The 12,144-nt window shown below is 37.9% G+C and overlaps 1 protein-coding gene across 2 annotated transcripts in view; it reads left to right on the forward strand.

The window, feature by feature from the left end:
* CFAP54 (cilia and flagella associated protein 54) overlaps positions 1-12,144 on the forward strand; it is a 385,979-nt gene that overhangs the window by 248,056 nt on the left and 125,779 nt on the right. For both annotated transcript variants that reach the window (NM_001367885.1, NM_001306084.2), the window contains 5 exons: positions 2,324-2,429; positions 4,807-4,954; positions 5,770-5,927; positions 6,099-6,278; positions 6,388-6,514. In NM_001367885.1, coding sequence (NP_001354814.1) covers positions 2,324-2,429; positions 4,807-4,954; positions 5,770-5,927; positions 6,099-6,278; positions 6,388-6,514 — 719 coding nt within the window. The remainder of the gene's footprint in view (positions 1-2,323; positions 2,430-4,806; positions 4,955-5,769; positions 5,928-6,098; positions 6,279-6,387; positions 6,515-12,144) is intronic.

Raw genomic sequence — 12,144 nt, forward strand, 5'->3', positions numbered from 1 at the left:
GTGCCTGCCACTCTACCCAGCTAATTTCTGTATTTTTAGTAGAGACGGGGTTTCACCGTGTTGACCAGGCTGATCTCGAACTCCTGACCTCGTGATATGCCCGCCTCGGCCTCCCAAAGTGCTGGGATTACAGGCATGAGATATATTGACCAAAAATATAGATCAATAGACCTGTATAGAAATGTAATTTAAACACTGAGCATATGTACCCCTTCTGGGAGCCTTCTTATAGGATCCATGGACACTGATGAAGCTGAACATACACTGCATCAGAATCTCAGTAACGGATCCAAAGGAGGAGCGAGCATGGAAGGCAGGCTGGGGATGGGGGAGGGCCCTGGAACGTGTAAATCTGATTTACAGCTTGAAGAGATCACTGTGGCTGCTGTGTGGAGACCAGGACTGCAAGGGCAAGAGTCATGGCAGAAAACTGGTTAGGAAGCTACTGTGGTCATCCAGCCTGGAGATGATCGTGGCTTGAACGAACGCGTTAGCAGTGGAGGAGATGAGGAGCCCTATTTGGAAGGTGAAGCCTGTTGATGGATTGAACATGAAGTGCGACTCACAGAGGGGAAGCCATGGCAACTTCTGGGTTCTGCGTGTGGGATGGAGGACACGGATGAGGAGTGGGTTTGGGTGGAGGAGATGGAAGTGAAGGGGTCTGCTTTTAACTTGCTGTTACTGGTTTCCTAAGACTGTTGTAGCAAAGTACCAAAAACTGGGTGGCTGAAAGCAAGGAATTTTATTGTCTCACAGTCCTAGAGGCAAGACTTCTGAAATCGAGGTGTCGATGGGGCCACACTTGTTCTAATGGCTCTAGGGGAGAATCCTTCCTTGCCTCTTCCGGCTTCTGGCATTTGCTGGCGGTCCTTGGCGTTCCTCGGCTTGTAGGTGCATCAGTCCTGTTGCATGGCCCTCTTCTCCCTGTGTGTCCTCACATAACCTTCCCTCCAAGCACGTCTATGTCTAAATCTCCTTTTTTTTTTTTTTTTTTTTTGAAACGGGGTCTCACTCTGTCGCCGGGCTGGAGTTCAATGGAGTGATCTCGGCTCACTGCAACCTCCGCCTCCTGGATTCAAGCGATTCTCCTGCCTCAGCCTCCCAAGTAGCTAGGACTACAGACGCGTGCCACCACGCCTGGCTAAATTTTTGTATTTTTAGTAGAGACTGGGTTTCACCGTGTTAGCCAGGATGGCCTTGATCTTCTGACTTCGTGATCTGCCTACCTCAGCCTCCCAAAGTGCTGGGATTACAGGCGTGAGCCACTGCACCCGGCCCAAATCTCCCTTTTTACAGAAACAACAGTCATATTGGATTACGACCCAGCCTAATGTCCTCATTTTAACTTGGTTGCTTCTGTAACGAACTTATTTCCAAGTAAGGTCACATTTTGAGGTACAGGGGGTTAAGACCTCAACATACCTTTTGGGGAGACAAAATTCAACTCATAACACCTGTTAAATGTGACTGTCGATTAACTATTCAAGTGGAGCTGTTAAGTGGGGAAATTGGATGGATATATTTCGGCCTTCATCCAGTTTTTTTTTAATGTGTGTGTGATGAACATCTTCAGGCATACAGGTTGTTCTGTATTTTGAATTTTGTTTTGGAATACATTTTCAAAAGAAGACAGCTCTTAATATATATCATTAAAATATTTTGAAGAAGTGTGATGCAATGATAAGTTTACTATTCGACAGGGGAGGAGAATATAACGGCTTAAAATACAGACAAATTTATGTATGGAGCAACAGGAAGTGAAGAATTCCTAACTCCTGGCCTCCATTTTCTTGACAGAGTACATTTCCTTTCTGGCACTGCTAGACAGAGATTAAACAATAATTTAGCTTGAATTTCTAAGTGTAATAGCATTAGGTAACATAGTTCCATGACCTCAGAAAGCTGGAGAATCACATTCTGATGTACATAAAGTACATATATACTCATTTTATTAAAATGAGATTGCCAATACATTTTGTTTTGGATCTTGGAAACGTCACTCCTTTATTCTTCTATTCACTCATTTTCATTTAAAAATATTTTTTAGTTTCTATTATGTCTCAGTCACTATGGTAGATGCTCAATTTCAATAGGGAATAAGACAAATTAGCTGTGAAGCAATACTCAGGCAATGAAATATGACAAGTACTAGTGTGTGGTTAAGACCAGGGTACTATTAGGGCCTGCAGAAATGGCACCTAACAGTTTTGGGGGTTGTTGGCTGGGGTGTGAGAATGTTTTTTGGAGAAAGTGATTTAGGAAATAACATACAGATGCCACAAATATAATACTGATAACATTTAAAATATATTTTCTATTTTAGTGCTGCAATAGTATTTTCTACACTTACACTTCTCCAGGATTCAAAACTTTTTGAAAAGAAGGTAGTACAGGATGACACAGAGAATCCTGTCTCTCCAGGAACTTCTGTAAGTATGACTTAATGTCTGTTCTTACAATACTTATCATATAAGAACTATTGGCATGCTAGGATATTGTCTAATTATTTAGATGAAGCAAAGGAGTAAAGTAGAAAAAACATTGAATTTGGAGTAAAAAGATTTAGGTCCTATTAATGCTATTTATTTATTGGTATACCTTGGACAAATCTCTTAATTAAAAAAAAATTGGTTATCTCATTTGTGAACTAATGGAATTGGGATATAATAATTACTAAAGTCCAATCCAAAGTTCCAGATGTACCATTATATTAATCTAGCTTTTATCTACCTAGCAAATAAAGTTGTTTCCCAAGACTTGCTCCTCATTCCGCTTTTGAATCTATTGCCTTAGCATTGCCAGTCAGATACCTGGGCTGTTTCCTGCTTTGGATTCCTCATAGTTAGAATCTTGCATTCAAGCTCTCAAATCTGACAACTAATGTCACATATTCTCTGATTAGGCTTTGATAAGACCAAGTAATTTAACAATACAGGATTGTTTAGGACTGAATTATAAAGATTCATCATATAGAACCCTTGCTCATTATTTCAAGTATTACTAATAAAATCGCTAATATCTAGCATCATTACAAATTAGCAAAACTAATTGTCCTCAATAGAGACTCATTTCTTACTATATTGAAAGCAATAAAAATGCTAAAAAGCAATCTAACTCTAAAAATTGACTTAGAATAATGATTGTCAATTGGGGGTGATTTTGCCTCCCGGGGGAAATTTGGCAATGTCTGGAGATATTTTAGGTTGTCACAACTGGGTGGAGGCGGGTGCTACTGGCATCTACTAGGTAGAGGCCAGAGAAGTTGCTAAACTTCCTTTAATCTACAGGACAGCCCTCCACAGCAGTTATCTGGCCCTAAATAGGTCAGTAGTGCTGAGGTTGAGAAACCCTGATTGAGATTAATGTGACCTATCTTTTCATTAGTGACAGGAAATCTGAGCATTGAGTGATTAAGTTCTATTGATGGACATTTTTTTCTGTATTGCTAATCTACATACTAGACTCTTTGAGTACTTCTTGTGCCCATTTGAATCACTATCCTCCCTGTGGGCCTCTGTCGACTGCTTACTCTTGGTTTTTTGGTTTTTTTTTGAGACGGAGTCTCGCTCTATCGCCCAACCTGGAATGCAGTGGCACAGTGTCGGCTTACTGCAACCTCTGCCTCCTGGGTTCAAGCAATTCTCCTGACTCAGCCTCCTGAGTAGCTGGGACTAGAGGTGCCTGCCACCATGCCTGTCTAATTTTTGTATTTTTAGTAGAGAGTTTCACCATATTGGTCAGGCTGGTCTCGAACTCCTGACCTCAGGTTATTCACCTGCCTTGGCCTCCCAAAGTGCTGAGATTACAGGTGTGAGCCACCGCGCCGCGCATGTTGACTGCTTACCCTTGTTTCCAGGGAACACCTTGCCCTACTCTTCCTGTACTACCCACCTGCATTTGAGCCCCTTTAGGCCCCATTAGCTACTCCTGGCTAGCACATGTTGCTGATTGGTTGGACATGAGGAGCTGTCAGAGATGCATAGCAGGAAATACTTAGAACAAATGACAGTTTTTCTAAATGATTTTAAAGTTCCTAGTGTCTACGATGGACTCCACTCCCCCAGAAATAGCTTTCTTTGCACATCTCTCCTAGCTCTCAGTAGCTCTGGACATTTGTCACCTCTTTGTAAAGTGTAATATTGAGGGTGGCAAATTAATTATAATACGTGTTTGGAATATGAGCAGCATACAGCAGCATGACACAGTGGATTAAGACTGTGGACTCTGAAGGCAGGAAGACATAGGTTGGAATCCCACCTCCGTCAAAATATGACAGTGTTTAGGCAAGATAGTTAACCTTCCTAGGTCTCAGTTCTCCCAACTGTAAAATGGAAATGATTATAATACCTCTTTGGCTGTTAGGAGGATTAAATGAGATAATATATACAAAGCGTGTAGCACAGTACCTGACACATAATAACTAAATGGATATTAGTGAATATTATTTATTTTTTAGCCCTTGAAATGACATTTACAAAAACTTTTAATGACACAGAAACTGCTGATAATATAATTTGCAGTGAGAAATTCACACTGCAAAACTATTTTTCAACAATGGGTACGGAGAGAAAAGGAAAGCTGAAAAGCAGTATGCTAAAATGTTAATAGAGGATTTCTGGATTGTGGGTGATTTTGTTTTGAATATTTTTTATATTTTATAGAATGTGCAAGAATCATTTCTAAATTTAAAATTGTAATACTGTGGAATGATACCAGATGCCTTTTAAACTTACATTACATTTAGTCTTAGGCTAGAACCTTGACATTATTAAATGGAAAGATAACCATCATTTTAATATTGTTTAGGTCACTGAAAATAAAGATGACAGTGAGTTTTTAGATCCTATTTCCCTAAATGCCCGAGAATATTTCAACATTCATCTGTGGTTGAGGTGCCGCTTAGCATTGGTGACTGCATTTGTTGCACAGATTCATGGCATTGGAATTGTGAAAGGTACAAACATTTGCTTAATCAATGTTTTCATAAAAATTAATTTTACATAGGTGAAGAGGGGTTTATTGGGATATATTTTATTATGTTAATGTTTTATAACTTTCTAGCTTGATCTGCTTATAGAATTAAAAATTCAGGTTATTAATATATAGGAATATTTTTAACAGCCCTTTGTATCATTGAAAGTGGCTTATATCTTACTAATGTATGCAAAACAGATAAAGCAATTTCATAATACGAATGACCAGGTCTTCTTGTCATCTGGGAAGGCAACTAAGTGTAGGAGTGAAGAGCACAGATTACTGGAGCCAACCCACTTGGGTTCAAATATTGGATCCACTACTTCCTTGCCAAGCCTTTCTTTGCCAAGTCTCTTAAATCCCCCTTACTCAGTTTCCTACCCTGTAAAATGGAGACAATTGTACCTACTTTATAGGATTATTGTCAGAATTAAATGGGTTAAATTTATACTGTTCTTAGATCACAGCTTGGCACATGTAAATGTTAGTTCTTGCAGTGATTAATCATTATCTATTTGTATACCTATCTATTCACTCATTTCTATCCATCTTCCAAATTAAATTATCTCATGCAATATCATCATTTTTGCAGCACTGGAAAGTCCTAAAGTACTTTCCCCCAAATTACAACACATTTATTTTCCATGTTTCATGTAGAGTCTGTTTTCCATCTTAATATACTCCCCTGTTCTTTGATATTACACAATATTTCTGTGATGAAAATTGGGGCTATTACACATGTATAACTTCTGACTTTCTCAATGCATTTTAAATAACCGCATTTGTTTATTTTAGAGGATGATATGACAGATTGCCTGAGCCTCATCAATGAAGTGTGTATGGAGGCAAAAAGCGCAGGGGACACGGAACTGCAGGCTGAATTCTTGACGCAAGCTGTAATTCTTGGCCTACAAGAAAAGCATTTAAAGGCAGACATCATGACAAACCTTCAGGTAGAAAGGAAACTTTGTTCGTATTTATAGTCAGGGAGGGATTCCAGTTAGAACAAAAGGAGAGAATTTCAAATTCCACTAGGTACTGAATGCATAACAATTAACATGTCCAGCTCTTGTTTCAGTGAATTGGAAACAGTACTATCAAAATGAATAATTTTATTTTAATAGGATATAATACATTTGCTGGAAGGAAATGAATTTATTTCTCCTCAATCACGGCTAACCCTGGCAAGAAGCCTAGTTTTGCTGGATGACTTAACCAAAGCTGAGAAATTCAAGGAATCTCCCTCTTCAAAAACAGGAAAATTAAATTTGTTAACTCGGGCTCATAGCATTCTAACTGAACAGGTGAGAATGCTTTTGTGTCTGCGAGACATAGAAACTTACTTTTCTCTCTTTCCTCCTATTCCAAACCACGTCAACTAATTGCTCATTACAATATTTGTTTTTTTAATAGATGCTAGCTTTTGGAGAAACAATTGAATTTCGTTCATCAAACACTAAATATGCAAATCCATTACAGCCTTTGAAAAATATCTATCTTCCCCATGTCATGTTATTGGCCAAAATAAAAATGAGAATTGGTAAGAACATTTAAACTTATATTGCCCTAGAATAACTGATAAAACTTTTTAAGTTATTTTTAGGCAGGCTATCATATGAGTGCATTTAAAAGAGGCAATATTTATGAATACTCAGGCTCCATTTATTTAACCAATAGTTTTTGATCACTTATCATATGCCAGACTGTGTGATGTATAGATGGTCTTTATATATGAATAAAGTATGTGGTTGATTACCATAATATAACATGCATAACTGCTTGGTCTAGACTATTGCACTTTATCCAGGTCATCAGTCTTTTGGATTAAAATTATGCCCACATAATTTACTTCAAAATTACCATGCAATTCAGTAACTTTACTGAAAAAAATCCTACAAACACAAAATACATTTCTTAAATAATCTGTTGTCTAGCATATTTAAATTATAACTAACTGTTAAAGAAGATTTTGGAAAGGAATGTGTTAAATGCATTATGTATTTTATAACTGATGTTATGAAGTACTTACATCTTTAAAAATGCTAATTTAATGCCTGTGAACAAAAAAATAGTTTATTTTTTATTATTTATTTTCTTTCTTCAACATTTATTTTAAGTTTAGGGGTACATGTGCAGGATGTGCAGGTTTGCTATATAGGTAAATGTGTGCCATGATGGTTTCCTGCACAGATCATCCTATCTAAGCCCAGCATTCATTGGCCATTCTTCCTGATGCTCTCCCTTGCTCTACCCCCCAGTAGGTCATAGTGTGTGTCATTCCCCCTCGACGTGTCCATGTGTTCTCATCATTCAGCTCCCACTTATAAGTGAGAACATGTGGTGTTTGGTTTTCTGTTCTTGTGTTAGTTTGCTGAGGATAATGGCTTCCAACTCCATCCATAGGACATGATCTCGTTCCTTTTTATGGCTGCATAATATTCCATGGTGTATATGTACCACATTTTCTTTATCCAGTCTATCATTGATGGGCATTTAGGTTGATTCCATGTCTTCTCTATTGTGAATAGTGCTGCAGTGCACATATGCTTGCATATATTTTTAGAATAGAGTGATTTATATTCCTTTGGGTATTACCTAGTAATTAGATTGCTGGGTCAAATGGTATTTCTGCCCCTAGTCTTTGAGGAATCACCACACTGTCTCCACAGTGGTTGAACTAATTTACACTCCCACCAACAGTGTAAAAGCATTCCTTTTTCTCTGCAACCTTGCCAGCATCTGTTGTTTTTTGACTTTTTAATAATAGCCATTCTGACTGGTGTGAAATAGTATCTCATTGTGGTTTTGATTTGGATTTCTCTAATGATCAGTGATGTTGAGCTTTTTTTCATGTTTGCTGGCTGCATGCATGTCTTTTGAGAAATGTCTGTTTATGTCCTTTGCCCATTTTTTAATGTTTTTTTTTCTTGTAAATTTGTTTGAGTTCTTTGTATACTCTGAATATTAGACCTTTGTCAGATGGGTAGATTGCAAAGATTTTCTCCCATTCTGTAGGTTGTCTGTTCATTCTGATGATAGTTTCTTTTGCTGTGCGGAAGCTCTTTAGTTTAGTTAGATCCCATTTGTCAATAAAAATAGCTTAAATAAAAGTGTTAATGAAGGTGATATTCATTTTTTTTGGAAGCTCTGATAACTTGTTTGTAAAAGTTTAAGAAATAAACTTGTGTCTTACAAATATAGGAATTGTCAAAAGTCTTCATATTTTTATGAGTCAAGGTCCCTTGAAGGGACAGCATCTTATGTTCCTTCACAATACTCTAGTTAGTGCCTTAACTAGTGGACTGGCTGATAATAGTATTTTCAATCCCAGGTGGATGGTATAGTTTCTCTGCAGTGGGAAAACGGTGTATCAGCCTAACTCTGCTTTGCGAGCATGGTTAATGACTCCAGCCTCCTTCTGCCTCTCTCTTTTCTCAGGGGAGGAGCCTGCCCCTTTATCAATGCTGCTGAGCCTTTTGGCCTTGCTGTAGCTCCTAGTTGGCTCTGTCCTTCCTGGGGACCTTGCTTTGGCACTTTTACCCCTCTCTCACATGTTTTCTACCTTCCTTACTCAACACATCCTTTTCTCTCCTTCCCTCAGTTTGTAAATATTTTCAAATATCCACCAGTAAAAAAATAAACTAAACAAACAAAAAACAATAACAAACCTACTGTAAGCCTCTGTCATTCTCACAAAACATCCTTCCAGCCAGACTCCTTAAGGGTAGAGTCTGCTCTCTTCCTCTTCTTTCCTCCCCTCTCATTCACCCCTCACCCCACTTCATTCTGGATTTGGACCAGAGAAATCACTCTTGAGTTCATCACCAAGGACTTAATCTATAATTCCAATATGTAGTTTTCAGACCCTCCAAAGCATTTGACATTGCTGACACTAATCACAACTTCCTGAAACTCTGCTCTCTGGATTCTCAGGTGCTGCATTCTCCCAATTTTCCATCTCCCTCTCTGGTTTCCTATCCATAATTACCTTTCTATTTCCCTAGTCTATCCTTTAAGTAAATGATCTCTATTTGTTCTGGCTTAAAAGGCTTCTTATGATGTGGTCCAAGCTGACCTGTGCCCCTTCCCACCCAACCCTCTGGTCACACTGCATCACTGTGACTGCACGTGATGCATGCGGTGCTGCATGCTTTACACCTTTGCACATGCGATTTTCTCCATTAGGAATAATCTTCCCCTGAAATCCCATTCCTACCATATCATTCTCTTCCCTCTCCTCCCCACTACTCACTGGCTCCCACACATGCAAATACATTTCCTTAAACTCTGTCCATTCTTCAGATCTCAGTTAAGCATCACTGCTTCCAGGAAACTTTTCCTGAACCCCAAGACTGGGTGATGTGCTTCAACCCCCTTCTAATTGATTATTCTTATTGTAATGCTTACCATGTTGGTTGTTAAGGACAATTTACTTGCTTGTTTGAAGCCTCCATTACGACATAAGCTTCTTAAGGCAACAATTTTGTTTTGTTCATCTGATATCCCGGGCACCTAGCACAGTGCCTGAAATCAAGCAATCAATCAATAATGGTGCTTTCAGATTTCATTCATCCATTAGACTACTATGCAACCACTAATAATAATGTTGCAGAATAATTTTTATACAATGGAAAGGTGTTCGCACTACATTGGAACATATATAACACAACATTACAAAATATTCATTGTATACATCAAAATATCATTGGAAAATAGGGACTCCCCTTGGCAGAGGTGATTATGGATGATGTTTATTGTCTTCTTTTTGCTTCTCTCTCTCCTTTAATCTGCTATAATGAACTACAATGAACACATATAACTTTTGTAACAAAAAAATTGTTCAAGAAATATGTTTTGGTCAAGGTACAAACCTAATGAAAATTAAGCATTTAGCACCAAGTACCATTTCCAGCAGATAGTATGTGCTCAGTAAATGTTAGCTCCTTTTCAAATATTTGAAGAAAAACTAGTGGACAGTGCTGTGGAAAAAAAGACTAACACACAGGTTATTAGAAATAGGAAACTGCAGAGCAAGCTGGTTAGATGAAGATTTGGGATCTAGAGGATCCAGGCCTGAATCTTGGCATTACTATTTCTTAGTTGTCTGATCTTAGAAGTTATCCAAGCTCTTAGACTTCATGCCTTATCTGCAAAATGGAGGTAGGCTATTTTCCCTATATATTTGAAATAATGAAATGAAATCAAATATATATAGTATTAAACAGTGCCTGGCACACAACAGTCATGCACTAAATGGTAGTACAGTTGCTGTTATTTCTTACATCTTACTTTATCTTTACTACTTATTTTACTTTAGTTTCTTTATCTTTGTCAGTTTGATCAATTTGTTTTTATGACCTTTTTTTCTGTTATTTTAGACATTCATTGTACTTTTCCTTTCCCAGTCTGCAGACTCAGATATGTGGTTCCCTACTGTAATACCCAGATCCAACTTTCCTCTCACCAAGAGGCTCTTACCTGTTTCCCTCATAGGCCATCCCCAGTTAGATGGGACTTTAGATGAATTTATGTTTCCCTCATAGGCCATCCCCAATTAGATGAGACTGTAGATGAATTTTACCTTCCTACTTTAAAAGTTTAAGGAATAAACTCACCATCTAGAGATATCTAGAAGTTTCGCTCCTTCTCTCCTACTGTCTCTAGCTCCCAGATTTTACTGAGATAATTTAGTACTTTTTAAGCAAAGTATCCTGATGCTTTTCCTTTAAACTAGTTCTTTCCTTTTTAAAGAAACTCTATTTCTAATTTCTAATATCTAATCCTAGTCATTGTACCACTGAGAAAGTGCTGCTGTTCTTCTTCCCTCCTTCTTTTCGTTCATCTTCAAAGCCTTCAGAGTCTTTCAGTCTCTGTTCTGCTTCATAGGTTGTTGATTGAATCCTTTTCTCTTTCTTTTTAAGTGTTTTCCTCAGATTATATTCTGATTCCATGTTCTCTGCAAATACCTTTCTTGCACTCTGACAGGTGAATGATGTGCTCCCAGCTCAGTAGCAGAATCTTTGGGTGTGGCTGTTTTTTCTCAGGGTTTGTTAGAGATTATTCCATCATGTCTAGCTTTGAGTGTCTCAAATGAGAACTGCAGTGTCAGTCTAATTTTCATTTTCTTTTGGTAAGAAATTTGTTCTTTCTTTCTGAAAACTTACAGCATTTTCTCTTTTGTCTCTGTAGCTCAGGAATTTTACCAGCATATGTCTGGGTATATGCCTTTTCTTTCTCTGCCTAGAAATCAGTGAGCACTTTCAATCTGCAGATAAGTCTCTTTCCAGCTGTCAGAAAATTTCTTCTTGCTTAATTATTGCCTAGTCACTCTCTGTTCTTTCTTCTTCTTCAGTTACTAGTACATCGAGAGCCATCTGGCCTATGTTCAAATCTTAAGCATGTGATTTAACTTCTTTGTGCCTTAATTTCCTCATCTCAAAAATGGGAGTTTTTACAGTAGTCTGTTTGACTGCTGTAACAAAATACCTTAGACTGAGTAATTTATAAACAGCGGAAACCTATTGTTCACAGCTCTGGAGTTTGGGAAGTCCAAGAGAATAATGGAGTAGTAGATTTGGTGTCTGGTGAGGGATGGCTCTGCTTTGTAGATGGCACCTTCTATGTGTCCTTACATGGTGGAAGGGGCAGACAGGCTTTCTCAAGTTTGTCTTTTACGAGGACAAGTCTGTCTTCTTGTTTTTTACAAGGACAGTAATCTCATGCAGGAGGGCAGAGCCCTCACGACCTAATCACCTCCCAAAGTCTCTGCCTCTAATAACATCATGTGGGGGTTACATTTCAACATATGAATTTTAAAGGGACACAAACATTCAGGGGATAATAATGGCACTTACTTGATAAGATTGTTAAGAAGATGTTAAATGCCTAGACCAGTGCCTGGGCCATTGTAAGCACTATTGAGTGTTGACTATTATTATTTATATATCAAGTCTTGATCTGTCTTCTAAGTCTATTATGTTTTCCTTTATAATTTCCATTTATTTTTGTCATCTATAACTTGAACTACTTTTACTTCCACTTGATCTTTCTGATTATTAATTTAGGTTTCAGCATTGACTATCTTCTCAAAATTATCTGAAAACTTTATATCTCTATACATGCTCTTACTTTTTTGATTTGTCATCTGAATTTTAATCAGTTTTATTTTAC

The sequence above is a fragment of the Homo sapiens genome, chromosome 12 (genome assembly GCF_000001405.40).
Source record: "Homo sapiens chromosome 12, GRCh38.p14 Primary Assembly".
In the NCBI taxonomy this organism is placed as follows: Eukaryota; Metazoa; Chordata; class Mammalia; order Primates; family Hominidae; genus Homo; species Homo sapiens.